The sequence below is a fragment of the Homo sapiens genome, chromosome 12 (genome assembly GCF_000001405.40).
Source record: "Homo sapiens chromosome 12, GRCh38.p14 Primary Assembly".
NCBI lineage: Eukaryota > Metazoa > Chordata > Mammalia > Primates > Hominidae > Homo > Homo sapiens.
In genome coordinates, this window is record NC_000012.12 from 109,251,373 (window position 1) to 109,276,064 (window position 24,692).

At 49.6% G+C, this 24,692-nt stretch overlaps 1 protein-coding gene across 15 annotated transcripts in view, besides 2 other annotated features; it reads left to right on the top strand.

Annotated features, from left to right (window-relative positions):
• ACACB (acetyl-CoA carboxylase beta) overlaps positions 1 to 16,854 on the top strand; it is a 157,038-nt gene extending 140,184 nt beyond the window's left edge. For 10 of the 15 annotated variants that reach the window (XM_047428764.1, NM_001412734.1, NM_001412737.1 and 7 more), the window contains 12 exons: positions 674 to 784; positions 1,643 to 1,786; positions 2,842 to 2,962; positions 4,768 to 4,864; positions 6,896 to 6,992; positions 7,601 to 7,736; positions 9,108 to 9,285; positions 10,985 to 11,097; positions 12,860 to 13,014; positions 13,738 to 13,908; positions 14,017 to 14,153; positions 14,864 to 16,854. In XM_047428764.1, the coding sequence (XP_047284720.1) occupies positions 674 to 784; positions 1,643 to 1,786; positions 2,842 to 2,962; positions 4,768 to 4,864; positions 6,896 to 6,992; positions 7,601 to 7,736; positions 9,108 to 9,285; positions 10,985 to 11,097; positions 12,860 to 13,014; positions 13,738 to 13,908; positions 14,017 to 14,153; positions 14,864 to 14,990 (1,587 nt within the window). In that variant the 3' untranslated portion in view covers positions 14,991 to 16,854. Of the gene's footprint in view, positions 1 to 673; positions 1,207 to 1,642; positions 1,787 to 2,841; positions 2,963 to 4,767; positions 4,865 to 6,895; positions 6,993 to 7,587; positions 7,737 to 8,692; positions 8,778 to 9,107; positions 9,286 to 10,984; positions 11,098 to 12,859; positions 13,015 to 13,737; positions 13,909 to 14,016; positions 14,154 to 14,863 lie in introns of those variants that run through there. The other 5 variants (XM_047428766.1, XM_047428767.1, XM_047428768.1 and 2 more) reach the window with 5 other exon arrangements.
• Positions 12,932 to 13,041: an enhancer, noted in NCBI's record as "active region_6984". NCBI's record gives its function as "activates an Ori minimal core promoter by ATAC-STARR-seq in GM12878 lymphoblastoid cells {active_cell/tissue: GM12878}" and the evidence as "EXISTENCE:reporter gene assay evidence [ECO:0000049][PMID:35858748]".
• Positions 21,972 to 22,266: a silencer, noted in NCBI's record as "tiled region #176; HepG2 Repressive non-DNase unmatched - State 10:DNaseD, and K562 Repressive non-DNase unmatched - State 10:DNaseD". NCBI's record gives its function as "represses a minimal TATA promoter and a strong SV40 promoter by Sharpr-MPRA in HepG2 and K562 cells {active_cell/tissue: HepG2 | K562}" and the evidence as "EXISTENCE:reporter gene assay evidence [ECO:0000049][PMID:27701403]".

Genomic DNA, 24,692 nt, shown 5'->3' on the forward strand with positions numbered 1-24,692 from the left:
AATAGTACTCTTTAATGATAAACTGCCTTGGAAGGCCTTATTTGTACATGCAATGTTGAATCTTCAGTTTCCAAGTGGAAAATGTTGGTCATAAGCATCTTCCTTGGGCTTGTTTTCTAGATTATATGTATAGTCTTTTTATTTTGAAGTCATCTAGGACCCACCGTAAGTTATAAGATACTACAGAGAATTTCCAAGTACCCTTCACCCAGCTTCCCCTATGGTACTTACATAACCGTAGTACATTATCGAAACCAGGAAACTGACATTGGCACAATATTGTTAACTCAGTACAGACCTTATTTTGAATTTCACCAGTTTTTACATGCACTCCTAGGTGTCCTTTTGGTTGTTAAGAGGCTGCAATGGCCCATGAATGCCCAGGCTCAGAAGAGCTGCACACAAGCCTCTTAAAATCTGAAACATTCACTGTCTGCTGCTTGTCTTTACAGCAATCTTTGTTAACCATGTTATTTCCAGATAGGAATCCAAGCTCAATAAAGTGGCCTGAAGAATAGGCTTTTGCCTCTACTGTGGTTTGGCTCCAAATCGGGTTGCCATTGGTCAAAACATAACTTCCATTTGGTCCCAGCAGGTTCCTGGACTCTTCCCTGCTGTGGGGGGTGGGTCCCTCGCCACTCTCCAGAATTCAGAGGGGGTCCTCTCTCCACAGGTGACCTGCCGAGCCATTGGGATTGGGGCCTACTTGGTGAGGCTGGGCCAGCGAGTGATCCAGGTGGAGAATTCCCACATCATCCTCACAGGAGCAAGTGCTCTCAACAAGGTGACCAAAAAGGGGCCTGTGCAGAGTGGATCCTTGGGGGCCAGGAGTCATTTTAACATTCCCATTGGTCTCTGGTGGGGGATTTTTCTCAATATGAAGCCAGTTTCATTCCTACTGATACAAGAGCTCTTTTTTTCCAATTTGCAGCTATCTGGGTCCTTATGAGAAAAAAAAAATTAGTTTTAGGCAATTCTGGTCGATCTAACTCCCTGTATTACTGACATTTTAAAACAAATTATTGAAGTGCCATTACACATTGCAGAAAATTAGAAAAGGAACCCCCCAAAAAAGTAATTTTGCAGCTTCTATCATTCTGGTATAGTTCCCTCTCATCTTCTGTCTTTATGTGGTTAATTTATAGTGAATATGCAGTTTTGTATTCTACTTTTTTCACTGTATTAAAACATTTTCCTTGTTGAAAAGTCTCTATACTTAATGTCTGCTCAAATCTCAGCCAAAGTCTCAAAGCCTGGTTCTTGAACCAACAGCATCAGCATCAGATGGGAACTTGTCAGAAATGCACATCCTCAAGCCCTGCTGCAGACCTGCTGAATCAGAAACACTAGCTAGGGTTTTGCTTTTGAGATGGTCAAGGTAGAAGTCAGCTGCATCACCAGTTCTCAAATTGGCCTGCATATTGGAATTATCTAGAAACTAAAAAACAAACAAAACACAAAAACTAATTCCTCGAAGATTCTGATATAATTGGTCTGGATGTAGCCTGAGCATCAGGATTTGTGAAATCTCCTGGGTGATTCTAATGTGTAGCCAGGATTGAGAAGCACTGAGATGATTTCCAAACAGGTGGTAGAGCCCTGCACCGTGCAGGACATTGCTAACCATGTTGTGTCAAAGCAGGTCCTGGGAAGAGAGGTCTACACATCCAACAACCAGCTGGGTGGCGTTCAGATCATGCATTACAATGGTGTCTCCCACATCACCGTGCCAGATGACTTTGAGGGGGTTTATACCATCCTGGAGTGGCTGTCCTATATGCCAAAGGTGCAGTACTCCCCCTGCAGCTTAGAACCTGGAAGACTCTTATTAAGCTCATTGGCTAATTCTGTCCCTGTCACCTCCTGGGTGGTGTGGGAGGCTGAGGAGCAGGAAGCACTGCACATGTGGCTGGGGTTGATTTTTCTTACTCCTTCTTCCTTCTCTGATGCCCAGCCCTGTACTAGGTGTCCTTTGCTCTTTTGGTGGCACTAATGCCATTGTAAGGATGCTATCTGTTAATCCTTTAGAAAGAGGTAGTATTGCCTCTTGACAAGAGGCAGCATTGGACAATACTGAGTCTTTAAGCTTTACAGTCAGGCTGGATTTGATTCCTGCCTTCCTCCTCGGTAGCTGTAAGACACTGGGAGAGTCCCTAAGTTTTTCTGAGCCTGTTTCCTCATCTGTGAAATGAGAATAATAATAGCACCTAACTCATGGTGTTATCATGATGATTAAGTGAAGTGATATTTAAAGCACAACGTTTGGTAGGTCCTCACCAAAGTAAGAAGGGGACAATCGTGGGCACAGTTCTTGGTTAACTGTAACATTCCTTACAAATGAGTGAGGTTGTCATTCTTCATTATAACCATTTCTGAGAGGTTGGGTTTACAGAGTTCAGGTCATTCCAGATCTTCTGCCAAGAACCCCAAGTCACAAATGTCAGTTTGTATTCCCAAGTGCCCCTTTTCCCCATCTGCATGCCATCTGTTACCATTCTCTGCAACCAATCTCTTTTTCTTTCTTTTAAGATGTTTTTCCTCCTATCTGACCATATATAGCAGTAGCAACCCTTTCCTGCGTTTCTGTAACTTCCCAGCATCAGTGACACCATCTGAACCGGGAAGCACACTCAGGAGTTCATAAACTAGATTTCAGAAGAATCCATGGGATGGCCAGTCCTTATCTGGCATTTTCCAATCAGAGCAGTGGCTTCAGGAGCCCTAGGGAGGGGATATTGCTGCATAACCAGGCATAATCATAGTCAGAGGAGCAAAGTGCTGATCAGAGGTATTATTGACAAGCACCACAGACTAAGTCAGAGACTTGGCTTTCTTTTTTAGGATAATCACAGCCCTGTCCCTATCATCACACCCACTGACCCCATTGACAGAGAAATTGAATTCCTCCCATCCAGAGCTCCCTACGACCCCCGGTGGATGCTTGCAGGAAGGCCTCACCCAAGTAAGTTCTAAAGTATTTTGCCTAGGACCTGGTCTCGGGTTTCTTTCTAGGGCTTGAGACAAAGGAGCACTTTGTCTCAAGCGCTTGAGACAAAGGCTTGATATTCGTTCTCATATCCCAGAGAGGTATACCTGAAATCAAATGCAGGGAAAGTAGAGAAATGGAGATTTTACTCTAGGCTTTTCCTGAGCCATTGACCAAGAAGGGGTGGAAACAGCCTCCAGTTTCTGGAGCTAATAGATGGAGGTGGGGTGCAATGGTGGTCCTGGTCTCCCTCCCCTGATGCTCCATGCTCCGTGGTCTCTAACTGCCCCACTGTCTCATCAGTAGAAAATTCAGTGCTGAAACATCAGAGTTTCAAAGAGAAGACTGCATCTTTCTCTTTCTTTCTCTCTTACAAAGGAACTCTGTGAGTTTACACAGGATAGGCAATCTGGTCTCCTCTTCTTTTTTTTTTTTTGAGACAGTGTTGCTCTGTCGCCCAGGCTGGAGTGCAGTGGCGCGATCTTGGCTTACTGCAATCTCTACCTCCTGGGTTCAAGTGATTCTCCTGACTCAGTCTACCGAGTAGCTGGGATTACAGGTGCCTGCCACCACACCCAGCTAATTTTTGTATTTTTAGTAGAGGCGGAGTTTCACCATGTTGGCCAGGCTGGTCTTGAACACATGACCTCAAGTGATCTGCCTGCCTCAGCCTCCCAAAGTGCTGGAATTACAGACATGAGCCACCATGCCTGGCCAATTTTACCTCTTCTATACCTACACACACACACACACACACACGCACGTGGACACGTGAACACACATGCACATGCACACACATTTTTGCACACACACATTCTCTCTCTGAAAGGGATGAGTTTCTCTCTTGGAGGTATATTATTTCAGTCTGAGCAACCAGAACACAACAGGAAAGTTGAGCTGCTCCCGTCACTATATCCCAAATCTAGAATTTCACATGCTGCTACCTTTAGACTTGGCTGCTCCTTGGCTGTGCAATGCAGGAGAGGTGACCCTCGGGAGTGTGCTAGACTCCAGCCAGTGCAAGGAGTCCTGTGGCTTCCTTCTCTTGCTTTTCATTTCTCTTGGGCTTTCTGGCCTGTAAACACTGAGGGGGCTGCTTATCTCAATTAAAAAATGTTCGGCTTCTCACTGTCAGGCCAGTCCTCGGCAGATGCTGAAGCTGTGCTGTTGCATGCCTGGGTGCCGGGCCTCCCATGCCTGAGATGCCTCTTACTCTGGCTGCCCCCTCCTGGTCAGAGCCACAGCCATTTACGCTGTTGCATGGATTTAAGTCATCATTTCTTCCCCACCAATGGCTGTCATTGACATCATCATATTCTCTCTCTGTCTCTCTGGGAAATTGAAACTTTTTTCCCAATTAAGTGGTTATGAAGCTGCAGCCAGCAGCTAGCAGGTGAGGGATGAGTTTTTCGGGAAAGGTGGTCCCTTCCTAAAATCCCACCTTCTGGAGGTGTCTGTCCACTCTCTGCATCTTAGGAAGAGAAGGCAGAGACCATGATTAGAATCTATGTGTTTGGAGTTGGCTGGCTGTTGATGGTAGTCACATATTCCATACAGACTGAATTCTTGACTTGGTATATTTATTGCAGCCCTGTTTGTCTTTTGAGGCATTTTGGGAAGGAGGGAAGGGGTTGGGCTGTGTGGTTTTAGGTAGAAAGGGGTATCTGGGCTATGAGGTTAAAGCCAGGCTGTCCTTAGGGAGCTTTTGCACAGCCAGGAGTGTCCTGGGGGCCCCCAGCCACCTGGCCCTCCAGCCTGGGCTTCTGCCCTTCTGTCCACAGCTCTGAAGGGAACGTGGCAGAGCGGATTCTTTGACCACGGCAGTTTCAAGGAAATCATGGCACCCTGGGCGCAGACCGTGGTGACAGGACGAGCAAGGTAATCATGAAGACGGGAGCAGGCTGCCCATGTCTGACTCACCAGGCATTGGGGCCCCGAGGTGTGAGGCCAGGGACCTCCAGGGGCAATTTTCTTCTTGGCCTCAGGATTTTCTAAAAGAAAAAACCAATTTGGGGAATGATTTCTGCAGTGTCTGTGTGTGCCCTTAGAAGGTATCTCAGCCAGCCTCCTCCTGAGGCCTGGGACCCTGTAGTCAGTCCCCAGGCCACAAGGGCTAACAACCCCTTTGGGCATCAGAAGGTGGCCTTGGGTGCTCTCCCCAGAAAACTTCACAGACACTGGCACTCTGAATTCCATCTTAGGAGAGCCATGGACAGGAGCCCTGTTGTATGCCACTGTTGGTGGGAGGCTGCAATGCTTGCATGCTTTCCAAGCTGGGCAGCTCACCCTTCAGCCTTGTAGCTTTCATCTCTTTGGACAGCTCCACCTGCCTGAAAGTTCCTCCTTATAATGAGCCCCGAGCTCCCTCCTCATCATTTACCACTCATTCCTGGTACGATGTCGCAGCTATAAGTCCAGGCTCTGCATTAGACCTGAGGCCAAGCCCCATCTCCATCACTCACCCTCTCTGGTCCTTCACATCTGTAAAATAGGGATAATAATTCTACCCCAAAGGATTATTGTGATGATTAGATGCAATAACATGTGTGAAATATTTAAAATCGACATACTCCATAAGTGGGAATGGCTGCTATCATTTACATCTTCGGCAATAAATACTAAAGTGCAGCCAGGGCCGGGCGTGGCAGCTCACACCTGTAATCCCAGCACGTTGGGAGGCCAAGGCGGGTGGATCACCTGCAGTCAGGAGTTCGAGACCAGCCTGGCCAACATGGCGAAACCCCGTCTCTACTGAAAATACAAAAATTAGCTGGGCGTGGTGGCAGGCACCTGTAATCCCAGCTACTCGGGGGGCTGAAGCAGCAGAATTGCTTGAACCCAGAAGGTGGATGTTGCAGTGAGCCGAGATTGCGCCATTGCACTCCAGCCTGGGTGACAGAGCGAGACTCCATCTTCAAAATAAATAAAATAAAATAAATTATATTTTTAAAAGCAAAAAATAAAAAAAAAAAAATCCACTCCTTCTTCCATGTGAAAACACTTTGATTTGAAGACTGCTCTCCCCCACCCCTGCATCATAGGGTAAACGAGAACCATGTAGTGATGCACAGTTCAGTAGCAAGTAACTGATGTCATGGCATCCCCTGAGCTGAGTCTCTGTCCAGTTCAATATCCCTCAGCCCTTTCCAAGTGCAACTTGATGTCTAGACCAGTGTAGTAGCTGCTGGCTACATGTGATGCTTTAGTTTCATTATTATTATTATTATTTTGAGACAAGGTCTTGCTCTGTCACCCAGGCTGGAGTGCAGAGGCATGATCGCTGTTCACTGCAGCCTTGACCTCCTGGGCTCAAGCAATCCTCCCACCTCAGCCTCCCAAGTAGCTGGGACTAGAGGTGTGCGCCACCACACCTAGCCAGTTTTTTTATTTTTTGCAGATACAGGGTCTCACTATGCTGTCCAGGCTGGTCTCAAACTCCTGGACTCAAGCAATCCTCCTGCTTCAGACTCTCAAAGTGCTGGGATTACAGGCATAAGCCACCATGCCCGGCTCCTTCAGTTTAAATTGAACTAAGTCAAAGTGACAGAGGATGACCTGTTCCATTCCTCACACTTGCCACGTTCCACGTGCAGCCCACAGCTCCTGTATTGGACAGTGCAGATGGAGAACGTGGCCCTCGTCACAGAAAGTTCTAGTGGTTCATGCTGCTCCAGGCCCTATACCATCCCAGCCCTCCTCTGATGGTTCTTGCCTCAAAAAGGGCACCAATAGGTCTGCTACCTTTCGAGGCTCTTACCATTTGGGGGCTTTTTCTTTGCCTTCCAATAAAATAATCCGCCAGATTAAAAAGAGCATTCTCCTCCACGTGCCCTCACCCCCACACCCAGAGGTCCCCAAATGCACCTGGGGTGCTGCCCAGGGCCTGGCTCACTGGTGCTCATTTTCCAGGCTTGGGGGGATTCCCGTGGGAGTGATTGCTGTGGAGACACGGACTGTGGAGGTGGCAGTCCCTGCAGACCCTGCCAACCTGGATTCTGAGGCCAAGGTGAGGGGGCCGGGAGCTGTGGCTGCTGGTTTAGCCAGCGGTACTGTCGAGAGTGGGTCCTGGGCGTGGGGGTCCCATCCCTGCCCTGCCAACTTAGGTGGAGAAGCAGGGGACCCAGTGCAGTCCCTGGCCCTGGGGGGCTCAGTGCCTGTTTCTCTGACACTTTCTCTATGGGTTGCATAAATGGCTGCACCATCTTGCTTCTTCCTCAGCAGATGATAAAGGTCCCTAGAAACCCCTCCCACCTCCTGCCCTGCCTCTGTTGCTGTTTCTGCGCTAGGCCAGGGCACAGACTGAGAAGAGCTCAGGAGTCAAGAGGGCTGGGTTCCAGGGCCGGCTTTACCCCAACTCAGTGTGACCTTGACGAGCTTGGCACCCCTCGGAGCCTGTAAAGGAGGGCAACGGGAACCTTGCTGGGCTGCAATGGGAGGGTCAGCCTGGTCCTGAGCGGAGGAGATGGGGCTTCCATCCTTCTGAGCCCTGGCTCTGGTGCTGGGGCCAGCACAGATCAGATCGCCTGCCATCCAGAGCGAGGTTCTGGCAGCCGTCCCTCTGTCCTGGGTTGTGGTTGTGCAGAGACATCTGATCCCCGCAGCTCTGTGTTCCAGATAATTCAGCAGGCAGGACAGGTGTGGTTCCCAGACTCAGCCTACAAAACCGCCCAGGCCGTCAAGGACTTCAACCGGGAGAAGTTGCCCCTGATGATCTTTGCCAACTGGAGGGGGTTCTCCGGTGGCATGAAAGGTAAGCCCCTCCCTGCCTATGTTACCCCAAAGCCTTGGGGTCAGCACCCAGGACAGCACCCTCTGGGTGGTGATGCTAATGTCCTAGTCTGTGCCCATCATCATCTTAGCTGTGTCTCCCAACAACCCTGAGGAGAAAATATTGTTCAGGTGCCCCACTACCCCGTTTTAAAGATGAGGAACTGCTGGGCACAGTGGCAGACACCTGTAATCCCGGTGCTTTGGGAGGCCAAGGCAGAAAGATCATTTGAGGCCAGGAGTTTGAGACCAGCCTGGGGCAGTATAGCAAGACCCTGTCTCTACAAAAAAACAAAATAAATGTTTAAAAAATTAGCTGGGCATGGTGGCACATGCCTATTGTCCCAGCTATTTGGGAGGCTGAGGTGGGAGGATTGCTTGAGCCCAGGAGGTTGAGGCTGTACTCCAGCCTGGGCAACGGAGTGAGACCCCCATCTCAAAAAAAAAAACAAAAAAACAAAAAAAAAACAATGAGGAACTGAGGGTTGGAGGCAAAGTGTCACTTTCTAGAGGTCACACCATGAGGTGCAGGTCAGGGAGGGGCAGCCCCAGGAGCTGCCGGGTGACCTGGGCAGGCACCTCCCCATTTGGCAAGGTGAGGAGGATGTTTGTCCACCCTTCCCTCTGCAGAAAGCTGCTCTGAGCCTCATGTGACCTTACAATTGTGTGAGGGCTTTTTAAGCCACCAAGCATGTTTTGGGAGAGAGTGGCTGTTGGATCACTGGGGTGTTGAGGACAGAGCTGGATGGGAGGCAGACAGACCTGCTGTGAGTCCTTGTTAACTGGGTGACATCACTGAGCCTCAGTTTCCCTCCTTTGTAAAAGGGGGTTAAGAACAGGACCAACCTCAGAGGGCCGAGGTAAGAGTCTGATGAGCTAATTGCTGACATGCAGTGTGATTGTCAGTGCTGTTATTATTGCATTCTTGTTTTCATGTAGGGTGCCTGGGGACCTGGAGAGATGTGTCTTGGTGGAAGATAAGGGCCATGTTGCCCATGCACATTGGGGAAGGATCAGTGTGACTGTTAGTGAGGGTTTTCTTTGCTGGAAATGGTGGGGCAGGGCAGGGACAGTCATGGGTGAGGGCATTTCAATTCCAGTTGGAAAGAATCCTAGAGATTGGTTTTTCCCTGTGCCTTCACAGATGAGGCCACTGAGGCCCACACTGGGTGAATGACCTGTTCGAGGTCACACAGCCACTTAGAGAGTGATCAGTACTCTCAAATCCCAGCCCAGTGCTCTCCAAGCCTCTCAGCTGGGCTCACTCTCCCAGGACCCCCAGGACAACTAGGGCAGTGGGTTTCATGTGTGGATGAGTGAGGGCCCTGAACTGGGAGGCTGCTTTGCTTTTCAGACATGTATGACCAGGTGCTGAAGTTTGGAGCCTACATCGTGGACGGCCTTAGACAATACAAACAGCCCATCCTGATCTATATCCCGCCCTATGCGGAGCTCCGGGGAGGCTCCTGGGTGGTCATAGATGCCACCATCAACCCGCTGTGCATAGAAATGTATGCAGACAAAGAGAGCAGGTGGGTGTGTTGCCCTTAGCCTGGCTTAGCCTTTTCTTGTTCTCCCAGCCTTGAGAGCCCATGACCTTGGGAGATCATGGAGGGATGCAGTGGCTGGAACCTGTAAGTGGTGGAGAAATGTTGTCTCTTCTTTCATGGTTTCCACTTCCCCTTCCCAAGGAAGTTTGCAATCAAAAAATAAAAAGGAAAGACCAAAAGCACTTGAACTTCCTGGCAGCCAGGATGAAAAGGGAAATATGATGAGCCATTTATCTCTCATTAGACTCTGAGCTATGAGTTCCTATAGGAAATGTTTTATTCAGTTTTATATCCCAGGGTCTAGCACAGTGCCTTACTCTCCTGGTAGGTGGTCAGAAAATACTGGCTAAACAAATGACTGAATGAATACTTGCATGAGAGGATACCGGTTCTTCGCGGGAGAGGTAACCTCCTTGGCACTTTCCTTAGGAGGAATTTATTCCAGAGATTCTTACAGAAAGGATGATGACAATAATGTTCACAGCACAGTGACTGATGACTTTGAAGTGAAAACTACATGCTACACAGGATGTCAAGGCCTCAAGAGTCATTCTACTCCAAATATAGGCACGGCATTCCTGTGTTCACTCCCTCATTCATTTGCTAATTCAATGAATATCCATTGATTACCTCACTGTATGCCAGCCATTCTGGTAGACATTATGATATGGTGGCAAATGGGCCAAGCTTGTCCTGCATTCAGGGCACTTAGACCCTTGTTAGGGACTGCTGAGGTCAGTCCTCCAGGAAGACTCAGGATACTGAGCAGCACTTGAATGGAGTCATTGCTAACTTTTCATGCTGGCCACCAGGAAGCTCAGAGCTACTGATAGCATTCTTCAGGGCTTCTAAGCTGTCAAAAGCAAAAGGGGGCAGGGGGAGAATAAGGGGTAAATAAAAATGTTGGAAATGAGGCCAGGCGTGGTGGCTCACGCCTGTAATCCCAGCATTTTGGGAGGCTAAGGGGGGCAGATCACTTGAGGCCAGGAGTTCAAGACCAGCCTGGCCAACACAGTGAAACCCCGTCTCTACTAAAAATACAAAAATTAGCTGGGCATGGTGGTACACGCCTGTAATCCAAGCTGCTCGGGGGGCTGAGGCAGGAGAATCACTTGAACCCGGGAGGCAGAGATTGTAGTGAACCGAGATAGTGCCACTGCACTCCAGCCTGGGTGACAGAGTGAGACCCTGTCTAAAAAAAAAACAAAAAAAAAAAAAAAGAAAGAAAAGAAAATGTATGTTGGAAATGGGAGGACAGCTCACACAAGACTACACTGGGCTCTCAAGGTGCTTTTGTGAGATTTAAAGCGATCAGAAACAGTGCCCCTCCTCTAGGAGGGCAGAAATTAGCAAAGTTAGAGAGGACTGTGGCTGGAGAGCAGGAGGGTTATGCTGCCATGGAAAAAGTCGTACACTCTTAGACCTGAAAGGGGCCCTCCAGAGTTCAGAAAGCATTATTTTAAACAGTTGGCTCAGTCTTTCCATCTGTGGGTAAAGATACAGAGGCCCAGAGAGGGAAAGTGACTTGTCTAAGGGCACACAGCATGTGTGGGGGTAAAAGAGCTGAGGACTGACACCCAGATCTTCTGGCTCTCTTCCCTCCAGCTCCCCCCACATCCATTAGCCCTTGCTTGCTGGGCAATGCCTCATATACCCCCATCCCTGCCTCTTCTCTTTTAAGGGGTGGTGTTCTGGAACCAGAGGGGACAGTGGAGATTAAGTTCCGAAAGAAAGATCTGATAAAGTCCATGAGAAGGATCGATCCAGCTTACAAGAAGCTCATGGAACAGCTAGGTAAGGGGGTCCCAAAGGCTTCACCTCTCAGAGGTCAAGAGAGGCCCAGCTGGCCCACTGCTGGGGGTTTCTAGGATGTTAAAAATAAAATGAAAAAATACCAAAATACAGCTATAATAACTGTGAGATTTTTAAAGATATTCACATTTGTCTGTTTGTTTTGTTTTGTTTTTTTGAGGTCTGGCTCTATTGCCTAGGCTGGAGTGCAGGGTGCAATCTCAGCTCACTGCAACCTCTGCCTCCCAGGCATAAGCCATCCTCCCATCTCAGCCTGAGTAGCTGGGACTACAAGTACGCAACACCATGCCTAGCTAATTTTTGTATTTTTGTAGATGTGGGGTTTCGCCATGTTGCCCAGGCTGTTCTCAAACTCCTGGGCTCAAGCAATCCACCTACCTCAGCCTCCCAAAATGCTGGGGTTACAGGCATGAGCTACCATGATTGGAGGACATTCACATTTCTAAATCAACCTTTTTAACATTATATATATATATATATATATATATATATATATTGCCATCGTGAATTTATTTCTCAGCATACACAAAAGATAGCAATTGAAGTATTTGGGGCTGATGGGGATTATCAGAATTTTGGTGGCAAAATGTTCCTTTAGAATTCCCAATCAGAGATAAGATATTTTACTAATTTTGTTTGAATGACAGCTTTGTTTTACTTGTCATCTTTAGATGTAATTATCTTTATTTATTTATTTGTTTATTTTTGAGACAGAGTCTTGCTCTGTTGCCCAGGCTGGGGTGCAGTGGCGCAATCTCAGCTCACTGCAACCTCTGCCTCCCAGGTTCAAGCGATTCTCATGCCTCAGCCTCTCAAGTAGCAGGAATTACAGGTGTGTGCCACCACACCTGGCTAATTTTTGTGTTTTTAGTAGAGACAGGGTTTCACCATGTTGGCCAGGCTGGTCTTGAACTCCTGGCCTCAAGTGATTTGCCTGCGTCAGCCTCCCAAAGTGCTGGGATTACAGGCGTGAGCCACTAAGTCTGGCCACAAGATGATATTTAAATATCCATTTTAAGTGTCAGTGTCTTTATAACTGTGCTATTCACAAGATTTTTTACAGTGTGTGCGTGTAATTTCTTTGGCTGGTATCAGGGTAATGCTGATCTCATAGAATGAGTTGAAGTGTTCGCTCCTATTTTCTGAGTTTTTGCAGAATTGGCATTATTTCTTTATGTTTTTGATAGAGGTTTTTACCTATAAATTCAACTTCTTTGTTATATATAGGACTATTTGTGTTATCTGTTTCCTCCTAGGTGAGCTTTGGTGGTTTGTGTGTTTCAAGGAATTTGTCTATTTCATCTTAAGTTGTCAATTTGGCATAGAGTTGCTTATAATATTCCCTTATCATATTTTACAATGTGTACTAAAAATCATTGATATAGTATCCTACAAGCACGATGGGTCTGATGGAAGGGGAAAATGTAGAGTTGCATGTTGAATGCTGTCTTGCAATTGTGAGTGCATTTCTGAGACTGTACTAGCTATTTGATCTGAGACAAAGGGGGCCATCAAGATGGGCCTGGGGTGGGGGCCAGGCCAGTGGACTCTGGGGGACCTAGGGGGCTGAGGGCAGCCTGTGTAGCAGCAGGGGTAATATCAGAGTTAAAGCTCAGACCTCTCACAAGGCAAGGCCTGTCCTGCAAATCCTGATTTGTGCCTTCTTCAAAAAAAAAAAAAAATCTCCACCCCATCACATATGACCAGCTTCCATGGCTTGACTGGCCTTTCTGCTCACCTGCAGGGGAACCTGATCTCTCCGACAAGGACCGAAAGGACCTGGAGGGCCGGCTAAAGGCTCGCGAGGACCTGCTGCTCCCCATCTACCACCAGGTGGCGGTGCAGTTCGCCGACTTCCATGACACACCCGGCCGGATGCTGGAGAAGGGCGTCATATCTGTGAGAGCCACAGCTGCCGTGTAGGGTGCAAAGAGCCCACCCTGTTTTCCAAAACATGGAGGACATTTGGGCTCGGGGGCGGGGAGGGCGGTGGTGGTTGGGATGGGTCAAATGCTGCAGGAGGTGGGAGTCACCTGGGAACTTTAAAATAATCCCGATCCCCAGGTGGCACTGCAGACCAGTGAAATCCAAACACCTGGATGGAAGCCAGGCGGTCGTATTTTTTAAAGATCCCCAAGAGATTCTAATAAGCAGCAAAGTTCAGGGACCACTAGTCTGATGGCTCGGTCAGTTTGGACCTGGACCAGGGGTAGAAACCGTTGTTCCTGTCCAGCATTCACCCACCCCTCACCATTGCAAGGACTCCCACAGTCACCTCCTACCCATGTCCAGTGCTCATTGGTTCTCTTGCTGCATTGTTCTCCCTCCCAGCTGACTCATGCCTCACACGAGCCTGTGTTTGTGTCGGTTGAGGTAGAAGTGGGTGCCAGGTTTTTATGGGGGACATTTTTTCAACTATGGCCAGTCTGGAGTCCTGGTGACGTCCTGCCTCTGAGCAGGTGCCTTCTCCTCCCTGAGCCTCAGCTTACTTGCCTGGGATGATCTGGGAATGATCTCAGAGCCTGGGCCCAGCCCCGGGCAGCCACTGTCATGGGTGTGGTCAGAGCCAGTGTCCCGTCTCCTCCTTCCCTTTCCGGGGATTCAAGCCTGGCTCGTCCACAGGACATCCTGGAGTGGAAGACCGCACGCACCTTCCTGTATTGGCGTCTGCGCCGCCTCCTCCTGGAGGACCAGGTCAAGCAGGAGATCCTGCAGGCCAGCGGGGAGCTGAGTCACGTGCATATCCAGTCCATGCTGCGTCGCTGGTTCGTGGAGACGGAGGGGGCTGTCAAGGTGGGCCTGGGGTGAGAACGAGGCCGGTGAGCACAGGGGGTGCTGGGGGCTGAGACAGCTGGCCCACAGCTGGGTCCCTCTCTGAGGCATCCTCTGCCCCCTCCCCAGGCCTACTTGTGGGACAACAACCAGGTGGTTGTGCAGTGGCTGGAACAGCACTGGCAGGCAGGGGATGGCCCGCGCTCCACCATCCGTGAGAACATCACGTACCTGAAGCACGACTCTGTCCTCAAGACCATCCGAGGGTGAGTGGCCACCGCACCTGCTTCCCAGCCTCCTGGCAAGGACCCGAGCCTGGATTGACCCCTAGCTACCCGACTCCTATGCAGCCACTTGAACCCGCCACCCTGTGCAGTCTGGGGTTGTCCCCGCCCCCTCCCCGCTCCCCAGCAAAGAGACCACACTCCCTAATGTCGGGTCTCCCAGCACAGTGGCTGGGGTGGGACAGAGAGCCTAGAGGTACTCTGAAGGCCGTGTGAGATGCTTCCAACTCATGAACCTTGCTGGAATATGGACTTGTCCAAAGTCACAGCTGGAGCAGGGTTGGTCACAGAACCCACATTTGGAACCGCTAGCCTTCAGGCTGCTGTCTTCCACGCCAGTGTTGACCTTTCCAGAGGGTCCCCTCCCCCAATTGCCATGGGGTCACCCCGTGAAGGAGGGAGTCGAGCACAGGGGACCCCATTTTGGGGATGAAGCTGAGACTCAAGGCAGTGTCTTGTCTCAGGTCATGTCACAAAGCAGTGACCAGTAGGGACGGTGGTGCCTCAAGGCATTCTGAACTTCAGGTCACAGCCCCTCCTGCTGCACAGGACCATCACCCCCATGGGGACCACAGCAGGGACTCGGGAGCTCTGGGTTCTGGGGTGTGGCCCCACACAAGGACTCTGCCACCCTTGGGGCCACTGAAAAAGTGGCTGGAGTGATCCCAGCCCTCCTCTCACCTCCCCCACAGCCTGGTTGAAGAAAACCCCGAGGTGGCCGTGGACTGTGTGATATACCTGAGCCAGCACATCAGCCCAGCTGAGCGGGCGCAGGTCGTTCACCTGCTGTCTACCATGGACAGCCCGGCCTCCACCTGACCGTGGCCCGCCCAGCCACTCCCGGGACCACGGCAAAAGGAACCACCCAGACCCACCACCCGTACACCCTCAGCAGACCCTGAAGACTTGCTTTTAAACAAAGAAAATCCTGGGCACTTCTGCAGGGCTGCTGGTTCCGAGCTGACACCCGTCTTAACAAAAGGCCCAGGAGTGCCTCTTCCAAACAAAAACAGCCTCCTCTCCATAGCTGGGAAGTTTATTTTGTTTTGTCTCTGAAGACAGCAGTTTTATTGCATCACTAAATCTAATCAAGCTAAAACATCCCTGTTTCCTTTTGCAAAACAGTGCCTGGCATGTGGGATCCAGGCGTTCTTTAGGATCCTTGGATACCACATCGTGAAATCTTTTATTTTTTTACTCTGAGACCAGCACCAGATGTAAGTAAGCATCTCATATATTTCAGCCAAATAAATGGGCCAAGGGAAAAAAATATATATATATAGACAGGACTAGAGAAAACCTATTTTTGTAATGATGTTTCTTTGGATACTGTCTAGTCACCCAGAAAAATGTATGGATGAATTTTTTTTTTTTTTTTTGAGACAAAGTCTCACTGTGTCATGCAGGCTGGAGTGCAGTGGCATGATCTCACTGCAACCTCCATCTCCTGTCTCAGCCTCCTAGATAACTGGGATTACAGGTGCCCACCACCATGCCCGGCTAATTTTTGTATTTTTGGTAGAGACAGAGTTTCACCAGGTTGGTCAGGCTGGTCTCAAACTCTTGACTTCAGGTAATCCACCCACCTTGGCCTCCCAAAGTGCTGGGATTACAGGCATGAGCCACCATCTTCAGCCAGATGATTTTTTTATTGAGAGAGTGAAATGCTATTTTGTTCCCCAAATGGCGCTAGTGAATCACTAGGAGGGTCCCACTGATAGGCCATGTTTAGCACTGGTTGCCAGGGATTCTCTTTTTGAGAGAGGGAAAGCAAAATGAATGGAAGTACCCAGCTGGAGGTTTCAGGGCTTCTGGAGGATGCTCTCGCATAGCTCGAGGTCCTCTGCCCACCTCTTCTCTCCAAGGAAAATGAGGACTGCCCCTTCCCCCTGCAGGATTGGCCCCCAGCCTGCGCATGCACCCTCCTCTTGCCCAAGTGGGGAGCACAGAGGCGGAGAGGAATCCCTTACCACACCCACGGCCCAGCTTGCTCACGAGTGTCACCTCTGTGACGGTCACCACTGCTCCCTTGGAGGGCCACTTGAGTTACTGTTGCTTCCTCGCCTGCTGGCTTGATGAGCACCGATGGTGGGATCTGACCCCGAGGGGCAGAGCTGTCGGTGACTGAGGACTGGACTGTGGTGACCATGCCGATTTGCTCAGGGAGAACGTTGCAATGCACCCAGCAGCTCCTGGCTCTGCAGGCGGCACAGCCTGGGGCCCTGTGATCCTCTGGTTTCTTCCATTGGGGCGGAGTCGGGGATGGAGGGAGCTGGCCACAACCCACTGCTCTGATGGGTGGTTTGTCCAAGGATGCTGAATGTAATGCCTGGTCAATGTGGAAGCCCATGAGGTTGCCCAGGGAAGCCTCCAAAAGCTGGGATGCTTGAGGGTATCCAAGTTGAAAAAGACAAAATCTGACCATCAGCCAGTGACAGTCCTGGCAAATGAAGGTGGGGCGGGGCAGTGAGGGGTGGGAGAAGGTGAATGATTCATTATTCCACCCCGAGGTTTGCTGGGGTGAGGGGAAGAATCGATGCTGCTTTGGGAACTGAAGGTTTTTCTGTTGGGAAGGCCCTCTTGGTTTTGGAGAGAAAGACAAGTTATGAGTAGCTGCTACCCTGGAACGGTGGGCAGAGAGCCTACTAGGAAATGTGCAGAATAAACTATTTTTTGAAGGAAACACTTTGGCCTTGACTTTATTATCTGGATTGGAGAAGGCAGGTTGCCTCCAGGAGCAAAGGTAGGCGTTCACCTTTGCACCCTCCATTCCTGACACCACAGCTGAGACCTTGAGTGAGTTCCCATCACAGGGGCAGACGGGGATGCAGTGAAGGAAGCTGAAGGCTAGACTGAAATGGACAAAGTCATCCCTTTTTGAAAGCACTGGGGAAAAATGTTTTAGAAAATTATATGCAAGCCTAGTCTATACCACAGGCAAAAAGGGAGCTTCTCTGGAAGAAGGGGTTGGGGGTTGGCCCAGGCACTTCACGTGCGAGTTCCATTCCTTTCCACCACCTTGATCCACCCCTGTTGTGCAGATGAGGAAGCTGAGGCACAGAGAGGTGAAGGCATTTGTCCATGGTTATGCAGAGACGGAATCAAGTCTGCTTGGCTCCAGAACCCAGCCCTTTCCTTTTATGACCTAGGTCCTTGGTGGGCAGGCTTAAGCCACACTTAGGAGTTGGTTTTACATGGACCCAAACTGCAGAAGAACCCCCTACCCGCCCCCCACCGTGGCTTCTCAGCACACAGTGACTATTCAATTTTGTCTCCAAAACACGTAACAACAACTGTTACCTTGATTCTGCCTGACACCTTTTCCAGGCAATTCCCCCTCACCAGGGATGGGCCAATCAGAGTTCTCCATTCCCCCTGACAGTGACTGACGCAGGTATGGGCGTGTATCCCCAGTAGAGCCGATCAGAATTCTTTAGGGATGGCTGACAGTGCTGATGTGGAGAGAACCTACCAATGCAGGGGGAAGCCAAGCCCAGAGATAGAGGGGGAGATCCAGTCCTGTTGGTGGTACTTGGATGCCTGGATCAAGCCATGCCTGAAGTCAGTAGCCCAGTCCCAGGAACCTATCCATGGTTTTTGTTTGTTTGTTTTAATGTTTGCACTAGTTTGAGTTGGAGCTCTATCCTTAGCCCTGGAGATGGCCCAGTTAGCCCAGAAGACAGCAGTTAATTTCCACCCACAGCAGCACCTAATGGTGGTCTGTATCAGCAGACCCTCCAGGCAGGGAGGCGAGGACCTGAGAACAAGCTGAAATGCAGCCCTCTGGGATGGGGAGGAGGAAGCTCTGATTTGGTTTTGCATCCTGAAGACTACAGGTCAATTGTTTGTTTTCATCCGGATTTGAAACCCGGACACAAGTTGCTATCTGCTGCTAAGGATGCTGGAGTTTACTCTGTGGACATCAGCTGAAAGTGCTTTCTCTGACAAGGCTAACTTTTCTCCCTTGAAGGACTTAGTGTAGCCAGTCACAAGGGGAAGGGAGAAAGGATCAGACAACTGAGTGTGGACAGAGGTCTTGTTGGGCAGGTTGGGTGCTAACTGAACACTCCCTACGATGGCCACTGGTCACGTGCCAGGTTCTGGCCTCTTTCCACACAATCCTCATGTGACCCTTGGAGGTGGCTGCTACATACACTCTATCCTCATTTTTTTTTTTTATGAGACAGGGTCTCGCTCTGTTGCCCAGGCTGGAGTCCAGTGATGTGATTTCAGCTCACTGCAGCCTCAACCTCCCAGGCACAAATAATCCTCCCACCTCAGCCTCCCGAGTAGCTGGGACTACAGGCATGCACCACCATGCCCAGCTAGCTTTTTTGGTTTTTGTAGAGACAGGGTCTATCTATGTTGTCCAGGCTGGTCTCAAACTCCTGGCCTCAAGCGATCCTCCCACTTCAGCATCCTGGAGTGCTAGAATTAGAGGTGTGAGCTGCTATACCCAGCTTCTATCCTCATTTTTATAGAAGAGAAAACCCAGGCTCAGAGATGAGCAGACTTCTCCAAGTGCACATAGCAGGTAAAAGGAGGGGCCAGGCTAGGAACCCAGGCTGGCTCAGACCCAATCCCCCTGGGCTTAATGCCTTTCCGTAAATCCTGAACCTTTGCAAGGGTTAGATCCCAAAACATGAGAGCATCCTGTAGACCAAGCTCCACTCCTCCTGCCTCCCTGACTTCCTGGCTAATTCAGCCAATGGCATCATTCAGATCCTCATCAAAAGCCTCATGCTCTCCATGCCAAGAGCCCACACTAGGGTGGGCTGCCCTCTTTCCCGATTGGCAGATTTTTCAGCCCTTGATTGGCAGATTCTGTAGCCCCTAAACCACTCAGAGGAACCTCACATTTCTGCATGCACAGTGGGCTCCTCCACATCACAAATGTAAATGTGGACTGGGTTATCCCCATTTCTACTCCTTTCTTTGGCCTCCCCAATTGATTATTTTATTTATTATCTTGTTATTTTGCCTTCCTCTGCTCCAAAAGTCAGTTGGCCTTTTTTCTCAGGGTCATTCTTTTCCCCTAACGTTTTACTATGAAAATTTCCAAATGCCAAAAAGTCAAAATATTTCATAGCACTCACCCCAACCCACCATCTTGATGCCACCATTGACATCTGACTGTGCTTGTACCTTCTTTAACACCATTCTCTCCATCTGTCCATCTCTCTGTGAATGCATGTTATTATTTTGTCACATTTCAGAGTAAATTGCAGACATTAATACATTTCTCCAGAGTTATTTTTGCATTTCAAAACCAGTTGTTTGTTTTGTAAATCACTTCCTGAGCTTTTTTGCAGCTGAGAGCACATCCAGATCAACAGAGCTGTGTTGAGACGAAGCAGCCAGCCGCGTGGCCAGAGAGGGAGCTCCAGTTCTCACAGTGCACACAGCACCAGAAAAACGCTTTTTTTCCATTATTTTATGAGCATATGCCACAGGCTGAGCACTGTGAGAGGGTGCTGCCATGAGCAAGGCAAGCCACTCCTGCCCTTGGGGACTGATATCCTGGGGTTCCCAACAGGTAGAAATTGCAAGTGGCTAACCATAAGGAGATGTTTAGGGTCACGACTAGTCAAAACAGTGACTGTTAAATCCAGAAATGTCCAGGGTCCACTTTTCAGAGTTCTTGTGACAGGAACGTGATAGAGAAGAGAACAAGGACCATCCACACAGGCCACAGAAAGGTTCTGAATGACCACCACGCACAGCAAAGCCTCCCTATGGCTTCTGCTAACTCAACCAGTGTGGACAAATCAGCCCTCTTCTGGGCACTGGCCGTGCAGCCGATGCACCGAGCCACGCTGCTTGACGTCCAGACAGATCTGCCGAAAATGCCACTTCCTTGTACTAAGTGCCCTTGGGACAAAAGTATCACTCAATCCCATAAGACATGGCATGAGTCCTGGGGCCCAACTTCAGCTATGCGAGAGCATCTTGTTACTACCGTGAACCAACCAGTCTAAACTGTCAGTTCACCTCCAGGTGAGCACTGGCTGTTTCTCCTGGGGAACCTCTTCCCCCTTGGCCTTTGTCTGGCTGACTCCTACTCATCCCTCAAAACCCAACTCAAATGGCACTTCCCCCAGGCAGCCTTCTTTGACCACCTCTCCCATGGGTTGGGAGCCCTCCTCTGTGCTCTGACAGCCCCTGTTCTCTCTCTTTTGTGCAACATATGTGAAACAGATTTCTAACTAAAACACACAGCTAGGGATCCCTAGGTGTTTCCGGTTGCTGAACCAGGGCTGGATTTTGGAGAACAGTCTGCTGACAGAGAGGTGGTCCTCTCCTGGGAGGGGAGGTGAGAGGATGCTCCTGAGGATGTTCTGTATTTTGTAATACCCTGACCAACGCGGTATGTCTCTGGATGGAATACTGTGTAGGAAACACAGGCAAAGAGCCTACATGTTTTTTTGTTTTTGTTTTTTTGAGACAGAGTCTTGCTCTGTCGCCCAGGCTGGAGTTCAGTGGTGCAATCTTAGCACACCACAATCTCTGCCACCTGGGTTCAAGCGATTCTCCACCCTCAGCCTCCCAAGTAGCTGGGATTACAGGCACATGCCACCATGCCTGGCTAACTTTTGTATCTTTAGTAGAGACGGGGTTTTGCCCTGTTGGCCAGGCTGGTCTTGAACCCCTGACCTCAAGTGATCCACCTACCTCCACCTCCCAAAGTGCTGGGATTATAGGTGTGAGCCACCACACCTGGTCTAGTATTTTGTATTTTGTATATTTTTATTGTGGTAAAATATACATAAGAAAATCTTAACCATTTTTAAGCGTATAGTTCAGTAGTGTTAAGCGCGTCCACACTGCTGTGCAGTCCATCTCCAGAATGCTTTTCATCTTGCAAGAGTGAAGCTCTGTACCATTAAACACTAACTCCCCACTCCCCTCCCCTCCCAGCCCCTGGCAACCACCATTCTACTTTCTGTGTCTATGAATTTGACTACTCTAGGTACCTCATGTAAGTGGAATCATATAGTATTTGTCCTCTTTGTGACTGGCTTATCCCACTTAGCATAATGTCCTTAGGGTTCATCCATGTTTAGCATGGGTCAGAATTTCCTTCCTTTTTAAGGCTGAATAATACTCCATTGCGTGGCTAGAGCACAGTTTATGTATCCACGCATCCATCAGTGAATTACTTGGTGGCTTCCACCTTTTGGTGGTTGTGAATACTGCTGCTATGAAAATGGGGGTACAGAGTCAGGTGCAGTGGCTCGCACCTATAATCCCAGCACTTTAGGAGGCTGAGGCGGGTGGATCACCTGAGGTCAGGAGTTCAAGACCAGCCTGGCTAACAAGGTGAAACCCCATTTCTACAAAAAATACAAAAATTAGCCAGGTGTGGTGGTACGCACCTGTAGTCCCAGCTACTCGGGAGGCTGGGGCAGGAGAATGGCTTGAACCTGGGAGGCAGAGGTTGCAGTGAGCTGAGATCGTACCACTCACTCCAGCCTGGGCAACAGAGCGAGACTACATCTCAGAAAAAAAAAAAAAGCAAACGGGATTGCTGGACCTGGCGGTAATTCTTTTTAATTCTTTGCACAATCAGCATACTGTTTTTCCAACGCTGCTGTGCCATTTTACATTCCCACCAACAATGCACAAACTTCCCTAATTTCTCCACATCCTTGCCCATACTATTTGTTTTCCTCTTTTTGTTTTTGGTTTTTATGTGTTTGTTTGATAATAGCCATCTAAGGGGTGGAGTCTAGAAGCAATTGAACTCAAAAGTCATTGCACCTTTTTACTTGCATGCCTCGATCGTCACGGACGGGATATATAGACCCCACCTGTGACCCGGACATCCAATTCCTCTGCCTCTTGCTTCCCTCGCTCACCCAGCTGGCCCCGCCCCGCTGCAGCCACGCCTCCCTCTCTTCTCTCCCACCTGCTCCCCATTCTGCGATGATGCTGAAATCCAGACGCCCGCAGACCCAGGCGGTGGCAGAACTCCTGGGGGCCGGTGGAGAAGGAAGCAGCTGGCCAGCCAGGCTCATTCTCCGTGAGGCGGCACCCAAGGTACTTTGTTCATCTTTCCCCATCTCACTCCCACTGCCTGAACCTTTCTGGGAGCCTCCTCTTCCCTTTAGTTGCCGCCAGGGTCACCTGCAGGCCGCACAAGTGTAAGGCCTTTCTCAGTTCAAGTCAGAGGAATGTTCCGTGTCCCTAGCCCTCGGGTCTGCCTTATCTCAGTTCACAGGCCCACCCTGCGATCCGCTCCTCACTCTGTCTTAGAATCTTCTCACCCTTCCCCTCACCAGCTCCCAAGCGTAGCAGGGGTGCTTGTTTAAAAAGCTCAGATTGACTCTGGCCCTGCCTCAGTCTCTCTCTCTCTCTCTCTCTCTTTTTTTTTTTTTTTTTTTTGAGATGGAGTTTCACTCTGTCACCCAGGCTGGAGCACAGTGGCATGATCTCAGCTCACTGCAACCTCCACCTACTGGGTTCAAGCGATTCTTCTGCCTCAGCCTCCTGAGTAGCTGGGATTACAGATGTGCACCACCACACACAGCTAATTTTTGTATTTTTAGTAGAGACGGGGTTTCATCATGTTGGCCACGCTGGTCTCAAACTCCTGACCTTAAGTGATCCCGTCAACTTGGCCTCCCAAAGTGCTGGGATTACAGGTGTGAGCCACCGTGCCCGGCCATGCCTCAGAATCCCAGATGGATCTGGAGAGCTAGATCTTTTTCTTTTCCTTTGAGATGGGGGTCTCATTATGTTGCCCAGGCTGGAGTGCAGTGGCACTATCACAGTTCACCGTAGCTTCAACCTCCCAGGCTCAAGCTATCCTCCCACCTCAGCCTACCCAGTAGCTGGAACTACAGGTACACACCACCATGACCACCTAATTTTCTAATTTATTATTTGTAGAGATGGGGTCTTGCTATGTCTCTTAGGGTGGTCTCCAACTCCTGGGCTCAAGCTATCCTCCTGCCTTGGCCTCCCAAGGTGCTGGGATTACAGGTATGAGCCACTGCACCTGGCCAAGATGGGGTCTTGCTATGTTGCCCAGGCTGAGATCTAGATCTTAAAAGGCCCCAGGAGATGTTGGTAGTCTGCAAGTTTGACCACATTTCTGTGGTTACCAGAGACGCTAGTCAATGATGGAAGGTGGGAAGCACCCCCCTAGAGAAGATCAGAGATGCTTCCACCTGTTGGGGGGCACTTACCCCACAGGAGGAAGCCTGGGCAGCCTTGGGGTCAGAGGATGTGGGTCCTAGAGATGAGCCCGGTTGTCCCTCTCCTGGGAGTGTTTGCTTCTGTCCCGTGGCAACCTGTGAGTGACTGTAGAAGAGCTGGACAGGTTCTTGTGGACTGGACACCCCTTGGGGATGGCCTGGCCTGGCTCTTTGGCTGCTGTTGGATTTGCCCACATTTCAGCCGCCAGTGAGATCTCTGTCCTGCTTTGACTCTTGAGGGTTTTGATTCCAGAGATCAGAGGTCCAGCATCTATACCCACAGGATCAACAGTCAACACAACCAGCATCCTCCAAAGGAGGTGATGCTTAGCTCCAGCACCTCATCTCCTACTTCTGATCCATCTTCTTATTCCTTTCCCTGAACTTCCCACTGACCACTCTTTAGGAGCCTACACTAGGTCATTACAGTGCCATGGAGGGGCGAGGAGACCTGCAGACTTGGGGTTAAATCCCAGTCACGTAACCTCAGAGAGTTTTTGTTCCTATGTAAACCAGCAAACAGATGGTGTCAGCTGAGGCCTCTGAGATGTGATAAAAGACCGTGGGGAAGCACAGTGTCATTTGAATCCCATCTCTAGCCTTTACTAATCATACCTAAGCTACCTAGCCTCTCTGAGCCTCAGTTTTCTCTTCTGTAAAATGGGGATGTATTTATTGTCTATGGCTGCTGTAAGAATCCCCACAAATTTAGTGGCTTAAAACAATATAAATTTATCATCCTACAGTTCTGGAGGTCAGAAGTCCAACATGTGTCTCCCTGGGCTAAAATCAAGGTGTCAGTGGGGCTGCGGTCCTTCTGGAGGCTCTAGGGGAGAGAATCCATTCTCTTGCCTTTTCCAGCGTCTAGAGGCTCCATTCCATCCTCACAGCATCTTTAAATCTGACACTGACTCTCCTGCCTCCCTCCTTTACCCATAGGACCCTTATGATTACATTGGCCTACCTTGATAACCTGGGGTAATCTTCCACCATTTTTTTTTTTTTTTGAGACAGTGTCTTGCTCTGTCACCCAGCCTAGAGTGTGGTGGTGCAATCACAGCTCGCTGCAGGCTCGATCTCCTGGACTCAAGTGATTCTCCTGCCTCAGCCTCCTGAGTAGCTGAGACTACAGGTGTGCACCACCCTGCTTGGCTAATCCTTTGTTTATTTATTTATTTTTTTTGTAAAGATGGAGTCTTAGTATGTTGCCCAGGCTGGCCTCAAACTCCTGGGCTCAGGCAATCCCTCTGCCTCCCAAACTGCTGGGATTACAGGTGTGAGCCACCACACCCGGCAATTCGACCTATTTTAAGGCCCCTGA